This window comes from Homo sapiens, chromosome 7 (assembly GCF_000001405.40).
Source record: "Homo sapiens chromosome 7, GRCh38.p14 Primary Assembly".
NCBI lineage: Eukaryota > Metazoa > Chordata > Mammalia > Primates > Hominidae > Homo > Homo sapiens.
Window position 1 is genome coordinate 139,662,316 of NC_000007.14, and position 14,918 is coordinate 139,677,233.

Here is a 14,918-nt window from a genome sequence, read left to right on the forward strand (position 1 = left end):
CTGTATAAAGGTAAGGATTTGTCTGTTATTTCCCTGCCAGAACTCTCTGAGAATGTTATGAAGAAAATAAATGGGATTCATTTGGCATGCCTTTTTCCTCAGTGAGGTCACATGGGTACCCTGTGGTCTTTCTATCGTTGCTTATAAACCACTTGCCAAAGAAATCCTGTAAGAAATTTCCTTGGGAATCAATCACATTCAGGTTGAGTTTACCACTCGGGCCATATACCAGGGGTGTACAAGCCTGTCCCTAGCTGTCTCTCCTGTGTACGACTGCCAGGCGAAGTTTCCTAAAACACCACTTTTTTTTTTTTTTTTTTTTGAGACGGAGTCTCGCTCTGTCACCCAGGCTGGAGCACAGTGGCGTGATCTCGGCTCACTGCAACCTCCACCTCCTGGGTTCAAGCGTTACTCCTACCTCAGCCTTCAAAGTAGCTGGGATTACAGGTGCACGCCACCACACCCAGCTAATCTTTGTATTTTTAGTAAAGATGGGGTTTCACATGCTGGCCAGGCTGGTCTCGAACTCCTGACCTCAAGTGATTTGCCTGCCTCGGCCTCCCAAAGTGCTGGGATTACAGGCATGAGCCATCGTGCCTGGCCTAAAATGCCACTTTCTTCATGTTGCCCTGCTGTTCAGACATTCCTGACACTATCCAAGTCCTGTCTCTGACTATCAGGGCTCTCCATCATCAGACCCCACCTTCCCACTGGCCACCATGGCCTCTGACTGGGTTTCAGGCCAGCTCCTTTCTGTCCATGACCTTCGACACTAATTCCTGCTCACACTTCCCTCAGCCCAGGAACTCTCCCTGCATCCTGCCCTTCTCATGCCCACTGGCCTTTCAGAGTGCACTTCAAGTCCCCTCCACCATGAAGCTTCTCCTCCCAGTTCTGGTCTCCACTGACCTTCACCTTCTTTATACGACATTCATTCAAATGCTTACAGCCATGGATTCACAGAAGCCTTACTTGGAAGGCTGGACTGGAGATCACCTAATTCAGCTTTCTTCCTAACTAGGAAGCGGGTTTACAGCTCAGGGGCAGCAGTGCAATGCAGCTGGAGAGTCACAGGGGCCCTGAATGCTGGCTCTGCCACTGATGAGCTGGAGGCCTCGTGGGCTTCCTCCACTGTCCTGACGTTCGGATATGACACTATACTGAAAATCCTTCAGAAACAAAAAAGAGCACCTCAGCTGTGTCTACTGGTATTTTACTGGTATTCTATGCCAAACCATATGTAACCATAAAGGTAACTGGTGGGAAGGAGGGGCTCCAGGCAGGGCAGACCTGAAACAAAGCTATTCATCTACGTTAGGGATCCCAACCCAACGGCAACTGTAAATAGCTTTGGGTAAAACAGGCTTTTGAGACATTAGAAACAAACAAACAAAATGTAAAAGTTAAATTCAATTAGACTCTGGGGTAAAATTTAACCTTGAGACTTTAGCACTCTCCACAGTGCTGACCTTTGAAGCTGGAGACAGACTGAGCAAGGAGAAGGAACTAGCCAGGAACTTCCTCAATTCTATCTCCTGCTTTCCCGAAGCCCACCCATAATGCCGGCCCACGAGTCTTCCTTCACCAGCTCTCAGAAATATTCTTGTCCTCGACTTCTGCCAAGCCAGTGTCCACATACAGGGTGACCAGGGATCAAACCCCAGAGGCCTGGGCCAAGGGGCCATTCTTCAAGGAGGACTCTGCCCCCACGCTTGGTACCGAGTCCCTGACGACCCTCCTCTCACACTTGGTCATCTCGCTTCAGCGTCCTCCCCTCATGCCCAATCTGATCCAGGTTTCTCCTGAAGTCAAACAAACAAGCAAGCAAACCAACCAACCAACCAACCAAATATCTCATGTTAATCTCACTTTGCATTCATCTACTTATTTTTCCTGTCATCCGCACCCTTCTTTCTCAACTACAATAAGTAGCTTGAGGGGTTGGGTATAGTGGCTCAAGCCTGTAATCCCAGCAACTTTGGGAGGCCAAGGCAGGTGGATCACCTGAGGTCAGGAGTTCGAGACCAGCCTGACCAACACGGCAAAACCCCATCTCTACTAAAAATATAAAATTAGCCGGGCATGGTGGTGGGTGCCTGTAATCCCAGCTACTAGGGAGGCTGAGGCAGGAGAATCGCTTGAACCTGGGAGGCAGAGTTTACAGTGAGCCGAGATCAAGCCATTGCACTCCAGCCGGGGCAACACAGTGAGACTGTCTCAAAAAAAAAAAGTAGCTTGAGGATTTTTCTCCTGCAAACCCTTGATTTTTATTCCTCCCACATGGCTTCCACCCTTCCTGCTATGGCGCAACATCCCTTTCAGGGGACAACGAGGGCCACCTCCGCTGGTCTCTTCTTTTGGTAGTGAGTGGCTCTGAGCTGTACTGTAGCCCTAAATTTCTCTGCTGTCTCTTTTCTCACTCTCCACCATTAACTTAGGTGCCCCTTTGACTTTCAACTAGTTTTTCCTTCTGTATATTAATTCAGCCAAAGCAGAAATGATCAAAAAACCTAATCTCTGCTACTAACTGCTCCCTATTTTTTTACCTTAATCATTTGCATAGACATCCTACAGATATCAGCTATTTACAACATACCAACAAGCGCTCAGACTCCTTCCTCTGACCTTAATACAGAGTGTCTCTAACACCACCATAACAACAGTTTCCAAAGGCTTAAAATTCCTTCCAGCTCTTTCCTTGGTTACCCTTCTTCTTTCTCTCTCTTTTTTTTTTTTTTTTTAGACAGGGTCTTGCTCTGTCACCCAGGCTGGAATGCAGTGGTACAATCATGGCTCCCTGCAGCCTAGACCTCCTGCGCTTAGGTGGTCCTCCCACCTCAGCCTCCTGAGTAGCGGGGACTGCAGTTGCATGCCACTATGCCAGGTTGATTTTTGAATTTTTTACAGAGATGGAGGTCTTACTATGTTGCCCAGGCTGGTATTGAACTCCTGGGCTCAAGCAATCCTCCTGCCTTGGTCTCCCAAAGTGCTGGGATTACAGGTGTGACCCGCTGTGCCCAGAAGGGCGGACCTGAAACAAAGCTATTCATCTACATTAGGGATCCCAACCCTTCTTCTTTTTTATCTCACATTCAACACTTTTAAAATAAAACCCAACAAACTCCTTTTATGTAAAGTATCAGGAATTTGCTGTGTCTTCCCCATTTTCTTAGCTTATGCCCTAGCTATGCATGCGCTGACCTGGCTCTCCTGGATAGAGCACTGCCTTCAGCCTCCTGGCCACATCCATCCATCCATCCATCCATCCATCCATCCATCCATCCATCCATCCACCCATGGTGCTTAGTCACAATTTTTATTCTACTACTCACTAACCAGAAATCTACAAGCATTCTTTATCCTCATTATATTACCAAACTCCTCCCCTCTAAATGAGTGCCTGGGCCTTCACTTTTTCTTCCATGCATGCTCACTCCATTTGGGCACCCAGTGCCATCTGCCTAGCTAATCTGACCCAGATGCTCATTTGTTCAAGGTCCTTCAGCATTCAGTTCAGTTCAAATGTCTGTAATGTGACTTGTTCATGTTGAGCTTTGAGAACATTCTTCAGTCATTTCATGTCTTCTGTTTACAAGCAGACTGTAAGCTCTTTCAAGTCAATAAGGAGGTCTGCCTTTTTTTTTTTTTTTTTTAAACACTGAGCTGCCCAGATGGTGCTTTCAAGATAGCAATTATGTGATAGGTCCTGCCGATAGACAGTGACTATTGGGGGCCAGAAGCCAATTTCTGTAAGGACTGGCAATGACACCCAATCAAAGACACACAAGAGAAAAGCGTAGGGATGACATGGTAGCCTGTTTCGGGAGACTGCCATTGTCAAAATAATTCACTAGTGTACTGAAGAGCAATGTTTTCCCTGTTTTGTTCCTCCTTCAAAGAAAAGGTCAAGAAGAGTGTTTAAAAAAAAAATCACAGTTTAAAATGAGGGAGGAATGTCAAGCTATTATTTCCAGCTACCATGGGTTCAGGCCTTCTGAGACTTGAGGAGCAGGGGCTGCCGTGGTGTGTCCTCTGAAAGAGGCCTTCGCCACGAAAGCACAGAAGACCCAGGGCTCACTGGAACCATCAAGGGTCCTCTGGTTCTTCTTAAAGTCAAAGATTAGGTGCCAAAATGTCAGTTTATGTACTGGCAAATATCATCTTCTTCCTTGGGGCTTTAAGTACTCAGATAAGATGCAACAGAATGAACTGTCCCACAGAGTAAATAACTTTCTGGGAGTAGGTAAAAGACTCTCAGAAAAGCAGTCACTCTTTTAGAAGGCCACAAATGAATACAATCATTTGTTAAGAGGCACCACAGTACAACAAGACACCATATTTTGGGGATATGGACTGATGCCTTCTAGTCCTCCATAAAGTGCTGATATAACAAAAAGATGTTAGAAATGTATTAGACAACTTCGTAACAACATGAAGAAAACAAAATTTAAAAAATCCACATTCTGGCTGGGTACAGTGGCTCACACCTATAATCCTAGCAGTTTGGGAGGCCGAGGCAGGTAGACGGCCTGAGGTCAGGAGTTCTAGACCAGCCTGGCCAAAATGGCGAAACCCGTCTCTGCTGCTATACAAAAATTAGCTGGGTGTAGTGGCAGGATCCTGTAATCCCAGCTACTCAGGAGGCTGAGGCAGAAGAATCGCTTGAACCTTGTTGGGGGGCAGAGGTTGCAGTGAGCCGAGATTGCGCCACTGCACTCCAGCCTGGGCAACAGAGCGAGACTCCTTCTTAAAAAAAAAAAACAAAACAAAAAAACTCCACACTCTAACTCTAACACAATAAATTTTCATTTAACTCCTTAAATACATAGTTGTAATCATAGTATCATATAATTTTGCATTCTTTTTGTCACTTGATAGCCTATAGTTACCCTTGCATAGTTTTGGTCTTTCTACTTATAATCAAGTCCACCAATTATTAATATTCCATCTTATAAACTTTGTCACTGCTCATTTGCTGATTTTGGTTGTTTTTAATATTTAATCTTTAGAAACAGTTGGATAATCACATATACACATATAGCTTTTAAAAAATTAATTACTTATAATTTTAAGGAATGAGATCATCAGGTAAAAGGATATAAAAATATTCATGGCTGGGGATATGATTTGAAAAACTGACCTTTAGAAGAACTGTACACATACATAGTTTTTAATTAATTTTATACTTTTTGATCTACCCTTTGTGACAACTAGTAACACTGCAGAGTGTCACTAATCTGGTGCTGAATCACTGCTGCAGGATCCTAATGTAGTGACTGCCATTTCAGAAGTGGTACTGACTCACTAGCTTTTATAATCAGAAAACAACAACAAAGAATGAGCTGCTTTTTAGAAACATTGCCAGATTCTCGGGAAAATATTTGTACATTTGTATAATATATAAAACATATTGGTTAATTTCCTTTATACATTAGAACAATCTAGTTTCATAGGTGTTAAGTAGTAAATATATTCTATTTTACTTTGGCTTATCTTTTAGGTAAGAACAAAGAAAGCAATTACTTGTGGCTGGGAGCGGTGGCTCGCACCTGTAATCCCAGCAGCACTTTGGGAGGCCGAGATGGGTGGATCACCTGAGGTCAGGAGTTCGAGACCAGCCTGACCAATATGATGAAACCCTGTCTCTACTAAAAATACAAAAATTAGCCGGGTGTGATGGCATGCACTGTCATCTCAGCTACTCGGAAGGCTGAGACAGGCGATCGCTTGAACCCAGGAGGTGGAGGTTGCAGCAAGCCGAGATCAAACCATTGCACTCCAGCCTGGGTGACAAGCGCAAAACTCCATCTCAAAAAAAAAAAAAAAAAGCAAGCAAGCAAGCAGTTACCTGCATATGATATGCAACTAAAATCAACGGTATCTTATGCAATAATAGATAACCTCAGTGTTAACTAAGTAAGTATAATTAATGTGAAATGCTATTTTAAAAAGGTATGATTTACTGGCCGAGTGCAGTGGCTCACACCTGTAATCCCAGCACTTTGGGAGGCCGAGGTGGGTGGATCACGAGGTCAGGAGATCAAGACCATCCTGGCTAACATGGTGAAACCCCATCTCTACTAAAAATACAAAAAAATTAGCTGGGCATGGTGGTGTGTGCCTGTAGTTCCAGCTACTCGGGAGGCTGAGGCAGGAGAATGGCGTGAACCCGGGAGGCAGAGCTTGCAGTGAGCAAGCTCCAGTGAGATCGCGCCACTGCACTCCAGCCTGGGTGACAGAGCAAGGCTCTGTCTCAAAAAAAAAAAAAAAGGTATGATTTACTTTTCATTTAACTGGGTGTCTGGTGAGACATTTCTCACCTGAGGCATGGATAAATATCTGAAGTTTGATTAGAAAAAATTAACAAATGGAATCTATTCTGTTAGAGTTTAATGCCATTAATTTTGTGATTAAAAGTTACAAATGCTATTCAAAATTTCTGGGTCTGACTGGTTACAGTTGCACATTAAATTGGATATTAGCTGTTCTATTTAGTTGAGATAAAATCCAGCTTTGAATCCAAATGGTTAAAAATGGTGAAGTAAAAGAAGACTGATGACTGTTTTAGAAATGCAATTATTTACATGATTGGCTTTTGTCTGTATGCCTTTCAAATGTCAAGATATTCTGAAAATAATCAAATAACCATGAAAGAATTCACGTGGAAGGATCACTTTAACCTGTGCCTTATATAATGTACTCAATTTACAGAAAAGCCAATTCCACGTTCTTATCCAAAACAATAAAATCAATGATGCAGCCTTAAAATCTCTTTCTCTGGATTAATCCCTTTACCTAACAACTACATTCTAAAAACTGAGGACTTATCATTCTGGATAGGGAGTGACCTTTTGGGAAGAATCACAGAGTCCTCTCCCCAGCCCGAGACCACTATCAATCCCCTTGGCTAGGGGGTCAACTGTGTACTCAGCTTCCTTTTAAGTCATTTCAAAGGATGAACAATAAACAGAAGCCGTGCTCTCCCAATTTGAGGCATTGGTGATCTGGCAGGGGAGATAACACCCAAATAGGGAGATAATTGTATTGTGACTGTACATAATTAAAGGCAGCGGTGACAGTAATAAGCCCGTTTTTTCTTTTGTAGACTGAGAGAGAAAGATCTTAAAAAGTTGTCTTCTTGAATTCAGCCTTTCAAGACTCATTGGTGAATGACAAAATGAGACATCTGGTTCTCCAAAATGTATCTGTTGAGCATGGTTCTTACACGGATGGTATCTGGCAAATAGAGATGAGCATGAGACCACATAAATGCCACAGGAAATTCCCAGGTCTCACTGAACTGTTTCATTCGCAAAAACACTGTCACAGCCAGTGGGCGGGTGGGGGGGACACATTAAGTGATGAAATAAAACGTACTAAAGCACAGAATGTCAGATACTTCACACACACACAAAAACTACAATTACGCTAGGCTACATCAATTATCATGGAATAAAAAGATTACAAACATTACAAATGTGTGAGTGTGGTTTTTTTAGGAAATTAATTAAATATAAAGAGCTATTGATGGTGGTCATATGGCAATGAGGTCAACACGAAAGCCAGGCACTAGAGTACCCATGGATGAATTTTCAACTGGAATAATCAAGCTTTATTTACTTTTTGTGGCCATGATTTTAACCTTTTACTTATTGAGATGCCAAGACAAATCAAAACGGCACACAATTAACCTGTTAAATTTATTTTTCACAAGGCCTGCTAAAAGATGTGGTTGAAATTACTCTCAAATTGCTTTCGGAGGTTTGGCAAGTGAGACAATACAAGAAAAACTAAACATTTTCAAGTCATATTGTTTTGAGAGGCGGGCCTGAGAAGGTTCAAGTCCTAAAAGGCTGTTGTCCTACAAGGCTGTTTGTTTTTCCGGGCGGGTTGGGGTTGCCAGACTCAAAGAGTCCCCCTGATCTGCATTCTGAATTGAGATTCTGGACATTGCCACCCAGCTCTTCATATGTCTAAGGAAACTGTGGCTGGGGATGGTGGCTCACACCTGTGACCCCAGCATTGTGGTAGGCTGAAGAGGGAGGATCATTTGAGGCCAAGAGTTCAAGACCAGCCAGGGCATCATAACGAGAGCCTATCTCTACAAAAAATCAGTTAAAAAAAAAAATTAGCTGGGCATGATGGCACACACCTGTAGTCCCAGCTACTCCAGGAGGATTGCTTGAGCCTAGGAGACTGAGGTTGCAGTGAGCCATGATTGCACCACTGCACTCCAGCCTGGGTGATAGAGCAAGACCCTGTCTTGAAAAAAAAAAAGAACAAAAAAAGTGAAGGAAAAATAAAAAAAAATGGTGTAATTATTTGATTCCTGCTGACTGCAGCTATTAAAAAGGGAGGTGTGTAGCTACCACCTTTGCATTCCCAATCATTCAAAATAGGTTTTATTTCTTTTTCTTTTCTTTCTTTCTTTCTTTCTTTCTTTCTTTTTTTTTTTTTTTTTTTTTTGAGGCAGAGTCTTGCTCTGCTGTCCAGGCTGGAGTGCAATGGCACAATCTCAGCTCACTGCCCTCTCCGCCTTCCAGATTCAAGCAATTCTGCCTCAGCCACCCTAGTGGCGGGGATTACAGGCCTGCGCCACCATGCCTGGCTAATTTTTGTATTTTTGGTAGAGACAGGGTTTTGCCACGTTGTCCAGGCTGGTCTCCAACTCCTGGCCTCAAGTGATTTGCCCGCCTCAGCCTCCCCAAGTGCTGGGATTACAGGTGTAAGCCACCGCACCCGGCCCAAAATAGGTTTTTAAAGCCAATTTTAAATACCTTCTAGTTCTCATTACAACTTGAAAAATAACACTTTAAAACTCCACAACTGGAAACAATGAACCAAAAGAGTGATCTGCTACAGAAAGAACATTAAGATATTTTTATAATACTTGAAAACAAAGTATTACAACTGGAATTCAGGGAATTGAAATTGGCATGTCAAACAATAATAGAAGATTCTAAAGGTAAAAAGTAGAATAATTAAAAGAAATAGTAATTATACCAAAGACAGGTTTATAGAAAACAACACTGGTGAACTTTGTATTTACTGACTTACTTAAAAAGAACTTCTAGCGTGACATTTTTTCTAACATTGTAATTGCCCTGCACCTATCTTTACATGAGTCTCCATAAACACTGCTGAATGTAGATCAGAAAATTGAAGATGATTAAGAACTGTTTATCTGATCTGTGTACCAAAATGGATTAGACTCATTGGTAGTACTTTCAGTTGAGAATAAAGTTTTTTTTTTTGACAGAGTCTCTCGCTGTGCCACCCAGGCTAGAGTGCAATGGCATGATCTCGGCTCACTGCAACCTCCGTCTCCTGGTTCAAGCAATTCTCCTGCCTCATCCTTCCAAGTAGCTGGGATTACAGGCGCACGCCACCACCCCAGCTAATTTTTTTGCATTTTTAGTAGAGACAGGGTTTCACCATGTTGGCCAGGCTGGTCTCGAACGACCTCAGGTGATCTGCCTGCCTCGGCCTCCCAAAGTGCTGGGATTATAGGTGTGCGCCACTGCACCCGGCTGAGAATCAAGTTTTAATGAAGTGACTTTAATGCATTTATGAGAAATGGTCATCACTAAAATCTAAGCCTTGAATGTGATAGTTCAGATTCAAGGCAAAGAATTTTTTAATTCCTCCCATTTGTTTGCTACTTATACCTCTGGTTTAAAAAGATACATCTGAAGTTTAACATTATATGATTCTAGATTTTTATAAAAGATTTTTATGAGTTTCTTATAGTTTATGTCTATAGCTTACTCATTCATTGTTCAATATTTATCTAGTGACCACAGTGTATGCTGAACACTGATTTAGATGCTAAAGATAATGCAGGGAATAAAACAGATGATTCGCCTACAGATGACTCCCTGCCCTCACGGAATTTACATCTACCTCATAACACTTGAAGATAAGTAGAATTGATTAGCTAGTGATTTAGTTACCTGAAAATCAAATGCTACATTTATGTAAGTTGGCATGAAATTATAAAATATCTTTCATAGCGAGGACCAGTCAAGATGATAAAAACTACTGGGTAAGTTCTAAATATGTCATACCAAGTAACCATTAACTATTTGTAAAAAAAATGGTCAGTTTAAGTCTTGACTTAGAACATGAAGACTTCAAAAAAAATAATTACAAGTAACTTTTTTTTTTGAGATGGAGTTTCGCTCTTGTAGCTCCAGCTGGAGTGCAATGGCGCGATCTCGGCTCACTGCAACCTCTGCCTCCTGGGTTCAGGTGATTCTCCTGCCTCAGCCTCCTGAGTAGCTACAGGCGCTGCCACCACGCCCGCCTAATTTTTTGTATTTTCAGTAGTGATGGGGTTTCGCCATGTTGGCCAGGCTGGTCTCGAACTCCTGACCTCAGGTGATCCACCCGCTTCAGCCTCCCAAAGTGCTGGGATTACAGGCATGAGCCACCGCGCCTGGCCACAAGTAACATTTTTATTCACTTCTGGTGATTAATTAGAATCACTGAACCAGAATCATAGTTTATTTAATCATCGCAGGTTGTCTTCTACATGACTACCTCATCTTTAACTTCTGTATTAATAAAGAATTTGCACTTTCACTATTCTCAGTCATGGTATGACTCAATGTTTTAGAACTTAGTATCCTCCTTGCAAAAAGTAATGCGAGCTGGAACAAAGCCCATAAGGTAACATTTACCACCTGGAACAATCAAAACAAATATTTTAACAGCAATAGATTTGTGGAGGACAGAAAGTCCTAGTGGCTAGAACAGTGGTGATTAGAAAAGCAGTGGTTAGAACTTTTTTTTTTTTTTTAATGAAAAAGATGGGAGGGAAGATGGCCACTAAATTGTATTTGAAACCAAAAGAAGTGACCCATCTGCTCTGGGGCCCGTGGAGAGAGAAGAGAGTGCAGATTACGAACTGGGAATGCAGAAGACAGAAAGATGATCAGCTGGAAACAAACTGAAGGAGTGTGTTGGCTAGCAACACATAATGAGAGTAGGGGCAGGCTTCTGACCTTGATGGTGGCGGAGCCGCATTCTCTCGCATAATCTGTCAGTTCTCTCTCTCTCTTACAGGAGACCAGCCTGTCTGGGAAAAAGTCACTTAGCTACCAATGCCTCTGAGCATACGGCCAAATTCCCCCAACCTCCTCTCTGATCAGCTTCTGCCTCTTTTTGTAACACTAAGTGGGTTGGGGAAGCCCCTGGAGGCTGAGGGCTGTCATAGGCCATCTGTGTGAGGACTCCCAGGGGCTGAGGGAGCTGTGAGGAGGGACGTAGAGACTGGGCTGACACCAGGTGCTTACCATTATCATGTAAGTTCTCTAACTGTTTCATGTGGGGTCTTCCCTATCCTTCTACCTACAGTGATGGTAGGTAACCTGAAGAAGTCTGACTTTTTAAAATTGGCACAGAGCAAAGCCCATTCCTAAGGAATGTTAAAAAATTTGCTGACTTTGGACAGGGCGTGGTGGCTCACATCTGTAATCCCAGCACTTTGGGAGGGTGAGCCAGGTGGATCACTTGAGGTCAGGAGTTCAAGACCAGCCTGGCCACCATGGTGAAACCCTATCTGTACTAAAAAAAAAAAAAAAAAAAAAAAAAAAAAAAAAATTAGCTAGGCAGACTGCAGACTACGCCTGTAGTCCCAGCAACTCGGGAGGCTGAGGCAGAACAATCGTTTGAGCTGAGGAGGCAGAGGTTGCAGTGAGATGAGCCTACTGCACTTCAGCCCGGATGACAGAGTGAGACTGTCTCAAAAAAAAAAAAAAGAAAAATTTGCTGACTTTTGGCTGGAGATTTTAATTACAAATATAGTAGAGAAGTTAAGATTAATATATAAAAAAGACGGTGCCAATAACTAAATGTTGTGCGGCACTTTTTAGTTTATAAGGAATCTTCCCTACATCATCTCATTTGGTGCTCAGAGCTGTGGTGGGGAAGGCCTCTCATCAGCTCAGATTTGACACACCTAATGTGGAGTGAGGTGGGTGTTTGGTTTTTCAATCTTTTAATTCTTTTCCATTATTCCACACATAAAGCAATAAGAAAAATTAAATGCTAAGCCGTATGGTATTGATTAGGTAAAACGGTGACTTAAAGGAGAGCTCGGTAGTGTCAGAAGAGCGCAAATCCATCCTGGGGATGAGATGCGTGCTGAGCCTGAAAGAGCAAGGTTTTAAACGGAAGGCCTTCCACCTGTGGAGAGGGCAGGAAGAAAGGCATGAGGATGGGAAGCAGACAGGCTACGTGGGAAAGGCGAGAACAGATTCCAGGCAGCATGGTGCTAGCCCAAAGCAGCAAACCTGGCATGGACCAAATTCTGGCTCCTTTCCACGAAAGGAAGAAAAATGAACACAGTAATCTATTAATCAATTAGTCTTCTGTTTTCGACTTCAATTCCCAGAGCTAATTAATCACTTCATTAAGTAGGAGATTCTCTCTTGGTTTAGGTCATTAATGAATATTACTAAGTAAAGCCTGGTTTATATTTCTAAAACTTTTGCATTTCAAACTCCTGGTAGCGCTTACGATGAAGATGTAAAAGAGGTGCCACATATGGACTGGAGGTTCCATCCCAGCTGCCGCTTCCTGCCATCCACCCTGGCTCTTCTCTGGAACAGCCATCTCCGGACCTGTCCTGGAAGTTCGCACACTTCTGCATTTGCCTTTGTCATCGTAAGGCTAATGCTGGGAAACGTGCTCACGTCTTGATTGTATTTATGCTGTGTCTAATTTTAGTTCTATTGTACCAAAATGACTGACATGGGTTTAATTGCTTGATCCAATAGATGCTGGTGCATCAGACCAACAGAAGCTTGCTCTTACCGTTATTAACCTGATATATTCTGACTAATTCACAGAATGAGGGAGAGTATGTTTTCTTCTTACAGCACATCCTGCTCAGTGACTGTGTCATCACCAAACATTTAAAAAGAGTCCGTTATGTTAAAAATATTATGCTAACCACCGAGAACACAAAGAGGTGTGGACACAGTCACTGACCTTCAGGGTACTGACAGGTTGTGCAACAGGTCACTTTACAAACAAGACCAGAGGACAGCATATGAAAAACAGTGAGCAAGGCCACAGGTACTAGGCGCTTGGAGTCTGGGGCCCCAGACTTGCTTCCATATTTAAATGTCGGCACTCACTTTGCTGCCAGTGACTCTCATCTTATTTCTCACATGCGGACTCGACACAGCATGAGGGGCAGGCAGGTGGGGAGGTGGCAGCAAAACAAGAATGCATGGTTCTGACCTCAAGAAGCCTGAGAGTTACTGTGGAGAAAAGAAAAAATAATCTGAAAACAGTTACAAAGTTGATGTCAGCAAGAACCAGACACCATGCTGTGAGTTATATGTTTGTGCAAAGATCACCAGAGAGGAAGTTAGCATGTGACCGATTGGGTGGGGTTGACCTGAGGTTTCTGGAGCTGTGAGGTGGACCCCCAATCTAGTGACATGAACTGGGACTGGGAGAAGGACAAGGCTTTCTGGCCTAGGAGGTAATACTTGCCAACCCCAACGCTTAGATAAGACTCAAAATGATGCTCTTTCTTCAATGATGCCTGAACAGATGGCTGTAATATACTCCTAATTGGTTTTCTCATACTTGGTCCCTTTCCCAAAAGCTCCAGTCCACTGAATCATTCTCATGTCAACTTTCCTAAACCTTACATATCTCCAATCAGGTCAGTCGTCTCCTGATCAAAAGAGAACCAAGTATGCATCGTCACTTTGCAATGGGGCCCCCTAAGGTAACTGCGCTCATTTTTGTTCTGTGCCTCTATGGCAGAGTTCAGCAAACACTTTCCATAAAGAAACAAATACTAAGTCTTTTCGGCTTACCAGGCTATCTATACACCGCAACTCCTCTCTGCTGCATCTACTCATCTCTGCTGACGTGGCACAAGAGTTGCCAGAGACCACAGGTACATGAATGGATGTGGTTGGCCTGTGGACCCTAGTTTGCTAACCCTGGCAAGGGAATCCCTGGGCTCACCCATGCTGAACTTCTGGTTGCCCTCCTGCGGGTGTCTGAGCCTACACAATAGTCTCCTTACCAGAAGTATCCTCACATCCATCACTGACAGTCAAGAGCCCTACACTTTCCTCTGCCCGCCTCACAGATTTCCATCACATCTTTGTGCTCACCCAATGTGATCCATTTAACAGATATTTGTTGGTTACCCACCATGTGCCAAGCACCTCCCAGATACTGGGTATACAAAGTGAATGACAGCCCTTTTTCTGTGAGCACTAAGATCTAGTAGGGAAGAACAAACAGATCTGTTTATTTGGTTCAACAGACCAAAGCTAGATATGAGTCCCCCTTCTTCCAACATGCCATAGCACTTCTTTTCTGCAATGAAACACTCAGTAGGCATCTCTGGAGAGCAGGTGAAGTGCTCAGAAGGTACCCCACACAGTTCCTTGTACACAGTAGGTACTCGAAAAACATGTACTAAACTGAATTAAACTGAAATTAATAGTGCCATACATCTAATTGACAAATGAACACAAGTATTAGAACCATAGTATTTCTTTTTTTCTTTTTCTTTTTTTTTTTTTTGAGATAGTTTTGCTCTTGTTGCCCAGGCTGGAGTGCAATGGCATGATCTCGGCTCACTGCAACCTCCGCCTCCTGGGTTCAAGTGATTCTACTGCTTCAGCCTCCCGAGTAGCTGGGATTACAGGCATGCACCACCACACCTGGCTAATTTTGCATTTTTAGTGGAGATGGGGTTTCACCATGTTGGCCAGGCTGGTCTCGAACTCCTGACCTCAGGTGATCCACCCACCTCGGCCTTCCAAAGTGCTGGGATTACAGGCGTGAGCCACCACGCCCGGCCAAACCATAGTATTTCTAATGTGGGATGTGTGTGTATGTGTGTGTGTGTGTATGTAGAGAGAGAGGGGCTGATA

General features: G+C 43.2%; 1 protein-coding gene across 13 annotated transcripts in view, besides 1 other annotated feature; it reads right to left on the bottom strand.

The window, feature by feature from the left end:
* The window catches only part of HIPK2 (homeodomain interacting protein kinase 2), a 216,429-nt gene that overhangs the window by 100,746 nt on the left and 100,765 nt on the right, over positions 1-14,918 (bottom strand). The window lies entirely within an intron of this gene.
* Positions 10,441-10,590: a silencer, noted in NCBI's record as "silent region_18698". NCBI's record gives its function as "represses an Ori minimal core promoter by ATAC-STARR-seq in GM12878 lymphoblastoid cells {active_cell/tissue: GM12878}" and the evidence as "EXISTENCE:reporter gene assay evidence [ECO:0000049][PMID:35858748]".